The 16,353-nt window shown below is 42.6% G+C and overlaps 1 protein-coding gene and 1 pseudogene across 39 annotated transcripts in view, besides 3 other annotated features; one reads left to right on the forward strand and one right to left on the reverse strand.

The window, feature by feature from the left end:
• Positions 9,830 to 16,353, forward strand: part of PIKFYVE (phosphoinositide kinase, FYVE-type zinc finger containing) — a 92,691-nt gene continuing 86,167 nt past the window's right edge. For 35 of the 39 annotated variants that reach the window (XR_007070607.1, XM_011510778.4, XM_011510782.4 and 32 more), the window contains exons 1-2: positions 10,029 to 10,189; positions 15,285 to 15,465. Coding sequence is in view for 38 of the 39 variants with exons in the window: in XM_011510778.4 (XP_011509080.1) it covers positions 15,294 to 15,465 (172 nt within the window). In the remaining variant the exon portion in view is untranslated. Of the gene's footprint in view, positions 10,190 to 15,284; positions 15,466 to 16,353 lie in introns of all 39 variants that reach the window. The other 4 variants (XM_011510779.3, XM_047443667.1, XM_047443672.1 and 1 more) reach the window with 1 other exon arrangement.
• Positions 9,866 to 9,915: an enhancer, noted in NCBI's record as "active region_17051". NCBI's record gives its function as "activates an Ori minimal core promoter by ATAC-STARR-seq in GM12878 lymphoblastoid cells {active_cell/tissue: GM12878}" and the evidence as "EXISTENCE:reporter gene assay evidence [ECO:0000049][PMID:35858748]".
• Positions 10,046 to 10,315: a silencer, noted in NCBI's record as "silent region_12289". NCBI's record gives its function as "represses an Ori minimal core promoter by ATAC-STARR-seq in GM12878 lymphoblastoid cells {active_cell/tissue: GM12878}" and the evidence as "EXISTENCE:reporter gene assay evidence [ECO:0000049][PMID:35858748]".
• On the reverse strand, positions 13,002 to 13,798 carry MYL6BP1 (MYL6B pseudogene 1; annotated as a pseudogene).
• Positions 13,249 to 13,750: an enhancer, noted in NCBI's record as "H3K4me1 hESC enhancer chr2:209134199-209134700 (GRCh37/hg19 assembly coordinates)". NCBI's record gives its function as "activates a minimal SCP1, AML or CMV promoter by ChIP-STARR-seq in naive H9 embryonic stem cells {active_cell/tissue: H9 hESC(naive)}" and the evidence as "EXISTENCE:reporter gene assay evidence [ECO:0000049][PMID:30033119]".

The raw sequence follows: 16,353 nt of genomic DNA on the forward strand, positions 1-16,353 counted from the left end.
TATTTATTTATTTATTTATTTATGAGACAGAGTCTTGCCCTGACAGGCTGGTGCAGTCTCGGCTCACTGCAACTTCCGCCTCCTGGGTTCAAGTGATTCTCCTCTTTCAGCTTCCCAAGTAACTGGGACTACAGGTGTGCCACCATGCTAAGCTAATTTTTGTATTTAGTAGAGACGGTGTTGCACCATGTTGGCCAGGTTGGTCTCGAACTCCTGACCTCAAGTGATCCGCCTGCCTCGGCCTCCCAAAGTGCTGGAATTACAGGCGTGAGCCACCGTGCCCAGCCTCCAAAATTTATTTTAAAAAATTATCTCTAACATTGAATTAGTACATTATTCTTTGAAGATAAACTGATCTACGTGGTACTACTCAAGGTGCACTTTGGACACCAGAGGGCACTGGTATTTTTCCCGAGAGAAAAGAAAAAAGCATACACCTTGTCAACTTGGTTTTTGAGGTGGCTTAAGGGATATTGGCAGCCACCTCCATTTATTCCTGTAGAACTGTTTAGAGAGGTATATGAGCTTTTTGAAGGGGGTCTGACCCTCCACACCTGTGGGTATTTCTCATCAGGTGGAGCCGAGAGACTGAGAAAAGAAATAAGACACAGAGACAAAGTATATAGAAAGAACAGTGGGCCCAGGAGACTGGCGCTCAATGTGCAAGGACCCGCACCAGCGCTGGTCTCTGAGTTCCCTCAGTATTTATTGATCACTATTTTTACTATCTTGGCGAGGGGAGTGTGGCAGGGCAACAGGGTGATGGTGGGGAGAAGGTCAGCAGGAAACATGTGAGCAAAGGAATCTGTATCATGAATAAGTTCAAGGAAAGGTACTACGCCTGGATGTACACATAGGCTAGATTTATGTTTCACTTTACACAAACATCTCAGTGTAGCAAAGAGTAACAGAGCAGTATTGCTGCCAGCATATCTCGCCTCCAGCCACAGGGCGGTTTTCTCCTATCTCAGAATAGAACGAATGGTCAGCTTTACACTGAGACATTCCATTCCCAGGGACGAGCAGGAGACAGAAACCTTCCTCTTAACTGCAAAGAGGCCTCCCTCTTTCACTACTCCTCCTCAGCACAGACCCTTCACGGGTGTCAGGCTGGGGGATGTAAGGCCTTTCCTTTCCCACAAGGCCATATCTCAGGCTGTCTCAGTTGCGGGAAAGCTTGGACAATACCCAGGCTTTCTTGGGCAGAGGTCCCTGCGGCTTTCCACAGTGCATTGTGTCCCTGGTTAACAGAGAATGGAGAATGGTGATGACTTTTACTAGGCATACTGCCTGCAAACATACTGTTAATAAGGCACATCCTGCACAGCCCCAAATCCATTAAACCTTGATTCAATACAGCACATGTTTCTGTGAGCACAGGGTTGGGGCTAAAGTTACAGATTAACAGCATCTCAAAGCAGAATAATTGTTCTTAGTACAGATCACAATGGACTTTCTTATGTCTTCCATTTCTACATAGACACAGTAACAATCTGATCTCCCTTTCTTTTCTCCACTCTTAATTTTCATCTTGAATCTGATGCCCTAAGACACCTGAGACTGTAATTACTTTATATTATATCAGGTTCACATTGCTTATTACCCCTTTCTCCCTACCGAAAGTAAGCATTCATATCCTTTCTTGTTCCCAAAATAATGTAGGGCAGCCATAAAAACACATCAAATATAGCACAATAAAAACATTGACTATAATTGAGAAAAATAAGGTTAAAAAATGAATAGCTATAGGATGTTATATAGAACCAAGGCAAATTCAATCATCAAACATGTTATATCAAATCCTAAACACTTGCTAGAGATGGCTGCAAATTTGGCTTTAAGCCAATGTACTAGTAAAGGTGGCAGTTATTGGAGTCTCAGCATCTAAAACAGTGTTTCCTAAGCCAGTAATGGAGGAGTTGATTTTCCACTGAAAAATCTGGCTGGGTGCAGTGGCTCAAGTCTGTGATCTCAGCACTTCGGGAGGCCAAGGCAGGAGGATTGCTTGAGGCTAGGAGTTTGCAACCAGCCTGGGCAACATAGGGAGACCCTCTTTATACAAAACAAACAAACAAACAAACAAACAAAAATTAGACAGGCAAGCTTGCGCCTATAGTTCTACCTACCTGGGAGGCTTAAGTGGGAGGATCACTTGAGCCCAAGAATTCGAGGCTGCAGGCTCCAGTGAGCTATAATTGCACCACTGCACTCTAACTGGGGCAACCAAGCGAGATCCTATCTCTTAAAAAAATTATTTTTCAGATCCCTAGGATTGACATTAAAATATTGCTATAAATATGCATAAAACTAGATATATGCTCCTTAGGCTGACAGCTCATACAACTGTAAAATAAAAAAATTTATAGATAAAATGACTAGAAAGAAAAGTAGAAAACAATACATCACCATTAATATCACTTAAATACAACAAATAACATTTAGCTGAAATTAAATTACTTCTTGAAATGGGAAGATGAAGTTCACTGGTTATGTGCAGGTTCTTTTTTTTTTTTTTTTTGAGACAGAGTCTCGCTCTGTCACCCAGGCTGGAGTGCAGTGGCGCAATCTCAGCTCACTGCAAGCTCCACCTCTCGGGTTCACGCCATTCTCCCGCCTCAGCCTCCCGAGTAGCTGGGACTACAGGCACCCACCACCACGCCTGGCTAATTTTGTTTTTGTATTTTTAGTAGAGATGGGGTTTCACCATGTGAGCCAGGATGGTCTCGATCTCCTGACCTCGTGATCCACCAGTGTTGGCCTACCAAAGTGCTGGGATTACAGGCGTGAGCCACCGCACCTGGCCATGTGCACGTTCTTTTTTACATAGCCGGCCTATTTTACTGGATGACATATGATGGTTCATTTAGCCCAGCACCCCTCTCTATTTGGTTAATATTTCATGTGTTGACATCATTTGTCTTTCATTTAGCCAGTAAAAGAATCTGAGTATTTTAATAGTCTGGCCCCAAATACTGTTATAAACACAAATGGAAACACAGGCCATGAAATTTCTGTAAGCATTTGGTTTTGACACACTCATCCAGATAATGGGATTCTCATAAATATTCTAATGTGGTTGTATTTTCATTTTGATTATCGAAAAAAAACTGAGGTAGAATGAATAGAGCTTGGTCATTGATTGTCCATGAAGATTATGAGAGAGAGAACGGCAAAAGGGAATTCTGAATTTGGAGTTTGGGAGACAAGGTGCAGTTCAACAAAGAAGGAATATACATAGAGTCACAGATCTGATGGCCAAGATCATGGGTTAAGTTTAAGGTTTCTTAACTTTGCGATGCCATGGGACAGCAAGATGATGTCCAGGAGGCAGTTGGCCTCATCTGCAGTTCAGAAAGGGTGGGCTGGAGAAAGAAATTTGGGAATCTTTAGCATGTCTTGATAACAGTTGAAGACAGAGTATATATTATCTAGGACTTCAAAGTAAGGAGAAAAGTCAATCTCAGTGAGAACTCTGAGGGACACTTACGTCTTAAAGGTCAGGTAGAGGAAAAGGAGCCCCCACAAAGAGAATGAGAAGGAGAGTCTGGGGGTTAACAAAGAATCAGCAGAGCCTGATGTCATAGAAGCCAACAGACAAGAAAGTTTTCAAAAAAGAGGGAGTACTACAGAGAGATTAAAAGAAAAAGACAGGGTCTGAAAATAATTTTGGCAAAAGGAAAACCTCTTGAATGCACTTTTAGTAAAAAGGCTCTATGAGGATGAAGAAGATAGAAGTGGAATGGTTCTACGAGGATCAGAAGATAGAAGCCATACTACAGGGGACTGAAGCATGAATGGGGGGTATGGAAAGGGAGACAAGAAAACCTTTTCAAGAAGGTTGATTGTAAAGTGAAGAAAAACACTTTTTTATTTTTGATACGGAGTCTGGCTCTGTCACCCAGGCTGGAGTGCAGTGGCACGATCTTGGCTTACTGCAACCTCCACCTCTACGGTTCAAGTGATTCTCCTGCCTCAGTCTCCTGAGCAGCTGGGATTACAGGCGCGGGCCACCACGCCTGGCTAATTTTTGTATTTTTAGCAGAGATGGGGTTTCACCATATTGGCCAGGCTGGTCTTGAACTCCTGACCTCAAGTGATCTGCCCGCCTTGGCATCCCCAAGTGTTGGGATTACTGGCGTGAGCCACCACGCCTGGCGGAAAAATGCTTTTAAAAGTCTTAGTCAACATACTATTGATGTCTACATATTTTAAAAAATTATTTGTATTACTTCCATGTTGGTTGTGTTGGTTAGAATGGATTTGATTATATTGCTTTCATGTCATTTGTGTTGGTTTGTATTGGATGTTTCCTTTTTGTTTCTTTAATGTTTAAATGGCTGTGACAAATGTCTTTATCTTCCTTTTTTAAAACACAGATCAATTCTTTGGGCTACATTGCTAGAATGGGAATTATTAGATCATGAAGTATAAATATATTTAAGGTGCTTGTTAAATCCACCAAATCATTTTCTAGGGGGGAATATACCAATTTATATTTTCACATGCAGTGTAAGAGAGTGCTAATTTTATTGCATCCTAGCTGGAACTTAGTTTCATAATTTTTACAAACATGTCTGCATCCCTACTAAAAGGAATTGGTGCTCCTTTGAGAGCTGATTGATTCTAGGCCCGGGGCAGGGAAAGTTCAAGATGAGCCTGCTGGGTCAAAAAGTAAGGAAGTGCTCTCAACAAATTAGGTATAGCAAGAATATGCCTCAACACAATAAAGGTTATATATGACAAACCAACAGTTAACATCATTTCAACAGTAAAAAAGAGCTTTTCCTCTAAGGTCAGGAACACGACCAAGACATGCACTCTTGCCACTTCTATTTAACATAGTACTAGAAGTCCTAGTCAGGGCAATTAGGCAAAAGAATGAAATAAAAGGCATCCAAATTGAAAAGGAAGAAATTAAATTGTACCTGTTTGCAGATGACATGATTTTTTTGTTTTTTTTGGAGACAGAGTGTTACTCTGTCACCCAGGCTGGAGTGCAGCAGTGAGATCTCGGCTCACTGCAACCTCTGCCTCCTGGGTTCAAGAAATTCTCCTGCCTCAGCCTCCTGAGTAGCTGGGACTACAGGCATGCGCCACCATGCCTGGCTAATTTTTCTATTTTTAGTAGAGATGGGGTTTCAGCATGTTGGCCAGGCTGGTCTCGAACTCCTGACCTCATGATCTGCCCACCTCTGCCTCCCAAAGTGCTGGGATTACAGGCGTGAGCCACCACACCTGGCAGGTTACATGATCTTATACATAAAAAACCCTAAAGACTGCACCAAAAAACTATTAGAATAAACAAATTTAGTAATGTTGTAGGATATAAAATCAGTATACAAAAATGAGTACTGTTTCCAAATATTAACAGTGAACTATCTGAAAGAGAAATCAATAAAACAATCCTATTTGCAATAGCTACAAAAATATATTAAAATACTTAGAAATAAATACGGGCCAGGTGTGGTGGCTCACACCTGTAATCCCAGCACTTTGGGAGGCCAAGGCAGGCGAAGCACGAGGTCAGGGGTTTGAGACCAGCCTGGCCAACATGGTGAAACCCCGTCTCTACTAAAAATACAAAAAAATTAGCTGGGCGTAGTGGTGGGCACCTGTAATCCCAGCTACTCAGGAGGCTGAGGCAGGAGAATTGCTTGAACCTGGGAGGCGGAGGTTGCAGTGAGCCGAGATGGCCCCACTGCACTCCAGCCCGGGTGACACAGTGAGACTCCATCTCAAAAAAAAAAAAAAAAAAAAGAAAGAAATTTAACAGAAGTAAAAGACCCGCACACTGAAACCTATAAAACATTGATGAAAGAAACTGAAGAAGACAGAAATAAATAAAAAGACATCTCATGTTTATGGGTTGAAAGAATTAATATTGTTAAAATGTCCAAAGTGATCCACAGATTCAATGCAATCCCTATAAAAATTCCAATGACTTTTTCGCACAGCTAGAAAAAAAAGTCTAAAATTCCTATGGAATGACAAAAGAGGCTGAATAGCTAAAGAATTCTTGAGCAAAAAGAACAAAGCTAGAAGCATCATACTGCTTGATCTCAAAATACACTACAAAGCTACAGTAATCAGAACAGCATGGTACTGGCAGAGAAACAGACAAACCAACTGAACAGAATAAAGAGTCTATCAGTTAATAGGATGCTCATTTTTAAAAAAAAATAAAAAGTGAAAAAAAGAATAAAGAGTCCAGAAGTAAATTTACCCATTTACAGTCAATTGTTCAATAAGGGGACAAGAATACACTATAGGGAAAGGATATTCTCTTCAATAAGTAGTAATGGGTAAATGGGATATCCATATGCAGGAGAATGAAATTAGAGGCTTATCTCATACCATATATAATAATCAACTCAAATAAATTGAAGACGTTATGTGTACCCCCTGAAACTGTAAAAAACGAGAGGGAAAAGCTCCATGACATTGGTCTGAGTAGTGATTTTTTAGATATGACCCCAAAAGCACAGGCTACAAAAGCCAAATAGACAAATGGGATTACATAAAACTGAGAAGTTTCTACAGAGCAAGGGTTACAATAGACAGACTGAAGAGACAACAGAGAACAGGAGCAAATATTTGCCAGCCATACATCTGATAAAGGGATAATATCCAAAATATATAAGGAACTCAAACAACTCAATAGTAAGAAAGCAAATAATCTGATTATAAAATGGGCAAAGGATGTGAATAGACATTTCTCAAAAGAGGACATACAAATGGCCAACAGGTATATGAAAAAAAGTTCAACGTAATTAATCATCAGACAAATGCAAATTAAAACCACAATGAGAGATATCACTTCACACCTATTACAATGGCTATATCAAAAAGACAAAAGATAACAAGATTGGAGAGAAAATAGAGAAAAGGAAACCCTTGCACACTGTTGGTAGGAATGCAAATTAGTACAGCCATTATGGAAAACAGTATGGAAGTTGCCAAAAAATTTAAAAATAAAACTATCATGTGATCCAGCCATCCCACTACAGGGTATATATCCAAAGGAAATAAAATCACTATTTTTTCTTTTATTGAAATTAAAAAAAATCTTTTTATAGAGATGGGGTCTTGCTATGTTGACCAGGCTGGTGTTGAACTCCTGGCTTCAAGCAATCCTTCCATCTTGGCCTCCCAAAGTGCTAGGATTACAGGCGCGAGCCACCGTGTCCAGCCAAAATCACTATTTTTAAGAGGTATCTGCACTCCCATCTTTATTGCAGCATTATTCACAATAGCCAAGATATGAAATCAACCTAAGTGTCCATCAATGAACAACTGAATAAAGAAAATGTGGGGCTGGGCACTGTGGCTCACGCCGGTAATCCCAGCACTTTGGGAGGCTGAGGCAGGTGGATCACGAGGTCAGGGGTTCAAGACCAGCCTGGCCAAGACAGTGAAACCCCGTCTCTACTAAAAATACAAAAATTAGCCAGGTGCAGTGACAGGCGCCTGTAATCCCAGCTACTCGGGAGGCTGAGGCAGGAGAATAGGGGTGGGGTGGAGGTCGGGGGGGTTGGGGCAGAGGGTGGAGATTGCAGTAAGCCCAGATTGCACCACTGTACTCCAGCCTTGGTGACAGACTCCATGTCAAAAAAATAAAATAAAATGTGGTATATATATACGGTGGAACATTATTCAGCCTTAAAAAATAAGGAAATTCTGTCTTTTGTGACAACATGGATGAACCTGGGGACATTATGTTAAGTGAAATAAACCAGACACAGAAATATACCACAAGATCTCATATATATGGAATTTAAAAATGTTGAACTCATAGAAGTAGTGGGTAGAATGGTGGTTGCCAGGGGTAAGGGGTGGCGGAGAGAGAAAAAGAACAAAAAGTAAGATGTGCTCAAAAGGTAATGGAGGCATGTCAAATGGACTCAGGAGTCTGCTGGAAGGGGCTCACACCAGCCAAGGCGGGGACACCTGGAGCACAGAAATGAATAGTGGCAGTAATGAACTATAACATGTTGGAAAAAAATGAGTCCAAAGTCATACTAACCAATATAAAGAAAGAAAGAAAAAGATGGAACGCTATTAGTTGCAGTAAAATTCAACTAATACATACAGAGGAATAGAAGTATAATATCATCGAACAATAATTGATTCAGCAAGAATCCTAAATCTGTGCTTGAATGAAAGTTTTTGAGGAGGATATATACACAGACAAATAATCTCTCTACAGATAAAATTCATCTGGAATTAATTTTGGATGTCTAGTGTGAAGTGAGAATCTAAAATGATTTCTTTTGCAAAAACAGTAGCCCAGTTTTCAATCTCTTTTCCACAGAAATTAAACTGTAAGCTAATATAGATATTAGACGGTAAGCTTCTTGAGGACATGGACTGTGTAATGTTCACATATATTTTTATTTTTTAGGCTAGTCAAGTGAAGCAGTGGGATACGTTCATAATTCTATCCTTAGTGTAGTGCTTCTATAACTAACACACTGCAGGTTAAATTAGGGACTCAAAAATATTTGCGGAGTGCACTTTTTTTTTTTTTTTTTAAACCATAGATGGAGTTTCTACATACACTGCAGTCGTCGTGGCTGGGCAATTTATTCTTTTCATATGATCTCTGTACCTATTTCATACTTTATTGTAGGTTTATGAAATATTAACATAGGGTGATAATTACGAGGGCCTTTTTTGCTTATCTTAAATTTTTAAAAAAAATTTTTTTAAAGGAAGGCAGAGACTTGAGCATCTTTATGGGCTGAGGAGGCAGAGTCATTGGAAAAGGGGAGGTTGCAGATACGGTGCAAGCTCCCAGACAGGAGAGGGTGAATTGGGGGCCAAAAGGATTGAGCTGGGGAAGAAGAGGCCCCTTCCTCAGAGAGATGAGGGAGAAAGGCAGACCAGGGCAGATGTGGATGTAGGTAAATGTTGTGGTGTGTGGGGAATTAGCTTGTTAAGGGTCACGCCCAGATACCTTGGGATTTTTCACGTGGGTATAAAATATGATTCTCTGATGAGAATGATGGTCAAGGTAATGTGGGGGTCGTGGTGGTGGTCTGACGCAGCAGTAATAAGGAATGGGAGAAGCTGACTACAGACTCCCAGAAAGATTGCTGAAGGGCCCAGCTGAGGATGGTGACTGGGATTTGCACTGGACTCAACCTGCAGGTTTCGATGGTGCTTTCCAACTCCAGGAAAACTGGGCTGGGATTTGACAAAACTCTTGAGGAAAAGGACTCACAGAATTTAAAACTGCATTTCCCTTTAGGTTTCGTCTGCTTTCCATCCTCCCCTACCAAGCCCCACAACTGCGGCGAGCATGTTTTCTGCAGTTAACTGCACTGCGCTCTCAGCAGGACAGAAATGACGAATAACTCTAGCCAAGCTGAACAAGATAGGGCTTGGGCTTGGTAACTTTATTTGCATCAGCATTTGCAACACAACACCTAAATGAAAAAATTAACTATAAAGCCGACATCACTTACTCTGGGTCAGGGAACTGTGCCATTCGCTTTAAGTGCATTTACTTAATCTCAAAAAAGTATTAAGAAGTGAGTCCTTTTATTAATCCGACTTTACACACCAGAGGTCTAAGGCCTAAATAAATGAGCAATTTGCTTAAGATCATATGGCTGGTTATTGGTGGAGTCATGCAAGTCTGGAAACAGAGTCATCGCTAACTCCGGTTCAGTGCTACACGAGTGAACTGTCTACAACAAAGCAATAACATATTATGAGTGCCCACAGTATCGAACACATACGGTAACCGCAGTCCAGCCAGCACCCCTGCAGTGCCCAGAGCACCAAGCACCCATCCGTTGACCCCGCATGCGTGACGCTCACGCGCGCAGTCCCCCTGGCTTCTTCCAGGAAGGCTGAAGCGGCCTAATCTCGGCCAAAAGATCAGGACGACTCGATCTGGGCTGGACTCCTTCTGCCTGAGCATCTGATCCGAGCGTCGGCCGGGCTGGGAGGAGCCGGCCCCCGGGAAAGATTTCGGACTGGGGGACAGGAAAACAGAGGGCGGAGTCTTGGGGGGGGGAAGCGAGAAGCCGCATCAACCATGTAAGCAGCTTCGCTTCCTGCCGCAACCGTCCGCGGCCTGAGGAGCCCACCGCCGCTCTCGGGGGCCGACTTCCGGGGGCTGAGCCGTTGAAGCGGAGGCTGGGGCGGGGGGCAGCCGGCGCGGCCGGGGCAGGAGGCGCAGGTAAGGGAGGGGGCCTGGAGCTTGGCCGGCTGGGGCTCAGCATGGGAAGGAGGCCGGTATGGGGAGCTCCAGGGCCAGAGCTGAGGTGAAAGTGAGAACCAGGGCTCCGCAGTCGGGGGCTAGGGCCTGGCTGCCGGCTGAGCAAGGAAGGGCAGAGAATCTGGCTTTAGAATTAGCTTGTCCTCCCTATTCCCCGGCTGCCTTGTCTGGCGAGTGGGGACGGAAGCCGGGTGGGGCCCTTGAGATTTCCTTGGAAACATTTGAAGTTCCTTTGCCTCTCTCTCGACCCTTACGCCTGAACTTAATTAGGAGGGGAAGAGTACAGTTACTTTTCCCTCTGAGTGCATGAGTTCTGAGTTTGTCAGAGGCGCATCCGTAGGCTGGAAAAGAAAGTTCATGAGCTGCAGAAACGATACCAACCGTGGGGGTTCAAATAAGTGTTTGTCTTTTTAAATGCTTGCCTCTGCTATTTGAGACGATTCCATTTCAACTTAGGTTTTGGAGTTTCTTGAGGAGGAGCATTATTTCCCAATTAGTGTTTACCCTTTGCTTAGAATGTTCCCAACAAAAGGATGAGAATGGAATGTGTTGGAAACTTTTAGGACTTAGGGGTTTTCTGCCCAATCAGAGGTTATTCCTAAGACAGTCAAGAAATATAAGAAGTGCTAGAATTCTGTATAAAGCAAGTTATTCGTGTGTATCTGATGTGTATACATGATTCATTATCTACTATTGACGCAGTGCATCCTGTGTTGTAAAATATGTCCAGTGTTGACAATAGAGGTAGTCGCTTGGTATAATGTACTTATTTCTGATTTATTTGAGCCCCTTTTTTGGCACTCCAAAACTCCCACTCTGTCAGTTTTCTTACAAAAAATGTTCTTTCTTTTGTGTTTGTGACAAAGATTGTGTAGGTTAAATCTCTTCTGTGGAGCAAGGCTAATTTCCTGTGTTCTCCCTTTTTCTGCTTTCTGGATCCTGCTCTGGTTTTCCTTTAAGCGTGTTGGTCAAAAATTGAACAAGAAATCTTTGTTGATAGAAGCTAACATTTCCAATATTCAGCTTTCCTAAATTATTACATTGCCAGTTTTTTTTTTTTTTTTTTTTGAGAGACAGAGTCTCGCTCTGTCCCCCAGGTTGGAGTGCAGTGGCGCGATCTCCTCCGACTGCAACCTCCGCCTCCCAGGGTTCAGGCGATTCTCCTGCCTCAGCCTCCTGAGTAGCTAGATTGCAGGCGCGCGACACCACACTCGGCTAATTTTTGTATTTTTAGGGGAGACGGGGTTTCACCATGTTAGCGAAGCTGGTTTTGAATTCCTGACCTCAGGCGATTCACCCGCCTCGGCCTCCCAAGGTGCTGGGATTACAGGCGTGAGCCACCGGGCGGGGGTCTCCCTCCCTCGCCCAGGCTGGAGTGAAGTGGTGTGATCTCGGCTTACTGCAGTCTCCGCCTCCCAGGCTCAAGGGATTCTCCTGCCTCGGCCTCCCAAAGTGCTGGGATCACAGGTGTGAGCAGCCACGTCCGGCCTTTACTGACTGGCTTCTGATAGTTTGTAGTAGGTCTGCATATATTAGTAGCCTTAATTAGAAATGGTGAAGTATTGGTGATATATCAGAAGGCTTTGGGTAGGTAGGTTAATAGGACTGATTACCACTCAGGAAAGAGTCCTAATTTATATTTTAAAGCGTTGTTAAGCTGCTAAAGAGTGAGAGTTATAAGATAATTTTTTCAGGGCCCTAGTGTCATTATGTAATTATTAGGGTTAACTATATGATTGGGTTTATATTTCAGAGACTACACTTGCTAAGTGTTTTCATGGGAATTTTTATCTTCTTATTTCCAAAGCCGAGTATAATTTTTGTGTAGATAACCTTTAGAAGTAATTCTAAGACTCTTTAGGCAGAATGTCATCTCTGCCTCTGACATTACTTGTGTCAAAGTAGAATGTAGGCTGTTTTCCAGGGGTGGTTGTTACGGCCATCACATTATCGTTTCTCTCCAGAGCTCTTTTTTTTTTTTTTTTTTTTTTCCCTAAATAAAATAGAGATGAAGTCTCGCTATGTTGACTAGGCTGGTCTGGAACTCCTGGCCTCAAGCGATCCTCCCGTCTCAGCCTCCTAAAGTGCTGGGATTACAGACATGAGGCCACAGTGCCTGGCCTCTTTTTTTTTTTAATATAAAAAAAACACAAACTTTTTTTTGAGTGTATACTTATTCAGTTATCAGCTTACTTCCCAACACTTTTTGCTGAATTGTCATGACACTTCAGAAGGATTGTTGATGATTATTCTCAGTGGAAGATATTAGAAACCTTCCTTCCCCTTCTTCTTCCTTTTCTCCTTCCTCTTTCCTTCCCCTTCCTCTTCCTCTTTTTCTTCCCCCCCCAATAAACATGTATTGCCAAAATTCTGTTTAAGTCAGTGGTTTCATTTCTGCCTTAATTTATTAATTAAATTATTGATCAGACAAAGCCTTAAGTAGTTAGAGAACGCGGATAGGCTAAAAGGGAAGTGTGAAGAGCTACAAAAGTAATTTTGATTTAGGTAATACTTTTGGGGTGAGACTTGGGGTATAGTGACAGTTCTACTAATGTCTGTGTGACCCCCAAGAAAGTTGTTTTAGGTTCAGAGTACCTTGGTTGCCTCAAAGGTAAAATGTCATAAAGCCAGCTGTGTGTGCCTTCCAGGATTGTAAGAGTAAAATGAGATGGTAGCTATGATTTTGAATGTGAAAAGCATTTTACCGAGACTGTAATGTCCTCTTTGTAAAGTGGAGACTAGATTATAAACTATAGTATATATATTGTTTTCTCCAAGGGAGGAACCTTGTCTTTATTTTGAAACAGTAGGTAGCCTCCTGGTGGCTGGAACATGCTTCTGCCTGCAGGGGGCCCATTGTCTGGGCCCTAGGGATCTACAGAGCTCAGTAGGCTTAGGAAGTGTTTCAGGAAGGCCTCCTAGTTGATGCTGTCCTCATGTCCTGCCAGAACAGTCTCCATCTCCTCCTCAGCCATCTTCCCTCCCAGGGTGGTGAGGACTTGTCTGAGCTCTGCTCCCGTGACTTTGCTGTTCCCCTCCTTGACTAACACATGAAGCCCCTCCAGGTAGTCCTCATATGTGCCTTGGTTCTGCTTCTTGGCTGCTGCCTGGAGCATGGGCAGGAAAGTCTTGAAGTCCACATGCCGGGACTTCAGGTCATCACTCTTGGGGTTCCCCAGGACCTTCATCACCTTGGCACTGGTGAGGTTCTGGTCCAGGGCCCCCATCATGTCCCCAAACTGGCTGTATGGGATCTTGCCATCCCCCACTCAGTTAAACAGCTTGAAGGCCACCTTGAACTCCTCCAGCTGATCCTTGTTAAACTTGATCACCACTTTGGAGAGATCAACTGGGGGCTCCTTGGTTTTCTCAGGGGCCTGGGGGATGGGATAGCTGGCTCAGCTTTGGTCTTGGCTGGAGGGGCCCATGCTGCTGCTGGCTTGGCAGCACCTTTGGAGATGGAGGGCCCTGCTGGTTCCTCCCAGAATATCCTTGGGAGGCATGATGTCTGGTGGCCAAAGGACAGTGTGCGGATGGGGGCACCCATCTCTTGCAGGGTCCGTGTCTGGGCCAGACTACAGTATTTTTTTTTTTTTTTTTTTTTTGTGGATGGAGTTTTGCTCTTATTGCCCAGGCTGGAGTGCAGTGGCGTGATCGGCTCGCTGTAACCTCCGCCTCCTGGGTTCCAGCGATTCTCCTGCCTCAGCCTCCTGAGTAGCTGGGATTACAGGTACCCGCCACCATGTCCAGCTAATTTTTGTATTTTTGGTAGAGATGGGGTTTCACCATGTTGGCCAGGCTGGTCTCGAACTCCTGACTTCAGGTGATCCGTCCACTTCGGCCTCCCAAAGTGCTGGGATTATAGGTGTGAGCCACCGTGCCTGGACCAGTCTACATTATTTTAATGATTAGAGTTATCCATGGTTCTTCTCTTTGAAATATAAATCAATATGGCAGAAAATAGTACTTTTCTGTAACTTCCATCTGGTGATGTGGTTAGCTTTATTGCTTTGGTTGAAATATGATTTTTTGGTTATTTAGAAACAAAGCCCTTTAAGAAGATCTTCATCTTAATGTCTATGAATTGAGGCTTAAAGGGAGGAAAAACCAGGTTCATGTGTTTAGGAGCAAAGATAGTGGGGAACAACTTGTTGATTTGAGTAGTTGTCATAGGTCATGAAGTGTAGCTTGAGGTAATTGTTAAAGTTTTGTAGACATGTCATTAGAGAATGACTTTCATGTCCTCGTCTTAGAAATATAATGATTTTTATATTACTTTTTAAAATATAAAAGTTGAGGCCAGGCATGGTGGCTCATGCCTGTAATCCCAGCACTTTGGGAGGCTGAGGCGGGTGGATTACCTGAAGTCAGGAGTTGGAGACCAGCCTGGCCAACATGGTGAAACCCCATCTCTACTGAAAATACAAAAAATTAACTGGGCGTGGTGACTGCGCACCTATAGTCCCAGCTACTCAGGAGGCTGAGGCAGGAGGATCACTTGAACCTGGGAGGTGGAGGTTGCAGTGAGCCAGGATCACGCCACTGCACTCCAGTCTGGGCGACAGAGCAAGACTCCATCTCCAAAAAAAAAAAAAAAAAGTTGAAATAAGGAAAATAAGACTGAAGAATTTATGTGTGTGTTGTATAACTAGCTTCCCCCCATAACTTTAAAAAGCTGTTGTGTATCCCTTCTTCCGAAACATCTTAAAATGAAAGAGCTAGAAATGATGTGAAAATGCTTATTTTTCTTCTGCCTGCTCACATTAATGCTTTACCTCCAAATTTTTATTAATTTAAATCTTTTCTATAATTTGAATAGTAATGTTTAAAATTGAGTTGGCTATCAGATCATAGTTGTAGATGATTGGGGCTCTTATGATTTAGATAGCAGTGTTTTCAGTCCTTTGGAATATATGAAGCTAGATTTATTTACTGTTTGTTTTCATAGTCTGACTTTTCACAGAATAGGATTTTCTGGATATTTCGATGCTGTTTGGAATCAACTTTTGAGCTTCCTGAGGAATTTAGATTTTTGCTTGTTTCTTTTGTTTTTCAGACTCATGAAATGGCCACAGATGATAAGACGTCCCCAACACTGGACTCTGCTAATGATTTGCCTCGATCTCCTACTAGTCCTTCTCATCTCACACACTTTAAACCTTTGACTCCTGATCAAGATGAGCCCCCTTTTAAATCAGCTTATAGTTCTTTTGTAAATCTCTTTCGTTTTAACAAAGGTAAGACTTATTAAAGATAAGAGGTTTGATTCAGGTCTGATTGTTTGAAATGCTCCTTTGTCTCCAGTGGCTCACCATGATCATATAGTGGTTAGTACTCTGTTCAGCTTTAATGCTGGGTCTGTAAGAAAGTGAAATATTAACAAGCGATAGCTTTAATCGTAGGTCTCCAGGGTTTACTGCTGAAGAGAAAGCTAGAATTTTCACTGTAATATCATTAATTATTGGTAACTAAAGGTCTGGATTAAAAGCTAAATGTTAGGCCAGGCGTGATGCCTCACACCTGTAATCCCAGCACTTTGGGAGGCTGAGGCGGGTGGATCACGAGGTCAGGAGATCAAGACCATCCTGGCTAACACGGTGAAATCCCGTCTCTACTAAAAATACAAAAAAATTAGCCGGGCATGGTGGCAGGCGCCTGTAGTCCCAGCTACTCAGGAGGCTGAGGCAGGAGAATGGCGTGAACCCAGGAGGCGGGGCTTGCAGTGAGCCGAGATTGCGCGACTGTACTCCAGCCTGGGTGACAGAGCGTGACTCCATCTCAAAAAATAAAAATAAAATAAAAAACTAAATGTTAAAAGGAGATTTCTTTTAATAGAGAAAGTAGTCGTCTTTTTTTGTTATTCTTTTTTTCTTAATATGCTTTAAGTTAGTCCATAGAATGGACTTTGTTCTTTTGGGGGTTAATAGCTAAAATATTTAAAGCAATGAAACTGAAAGGAACAGTACATGGGAGGAAAGGTTTATATTTTTCAAAAATTGGAAGCTGTCAGTAGGCTTCTTGTTGACTTAAAACTGTTAGACTAAGGTGTACATGTAATGACATCAAATGGAAAGATATTTTTAAAATGAGCTCTTTTTAAGTAATATGTCTTTTACTTGGGACAA

This window comes from Homo sapiens, chromosome 2 (genome assembly GCF_000001405.40).
Source record: "Homo sapiens chromosome 2, GRCh38.p14 Primary Assembly".
Classification (NCBI taxonomy): Eukaryota; Metazoa; Chordata; class Mammalia; order Primates; family Hominidae; genus Homo; species Homo sapiens.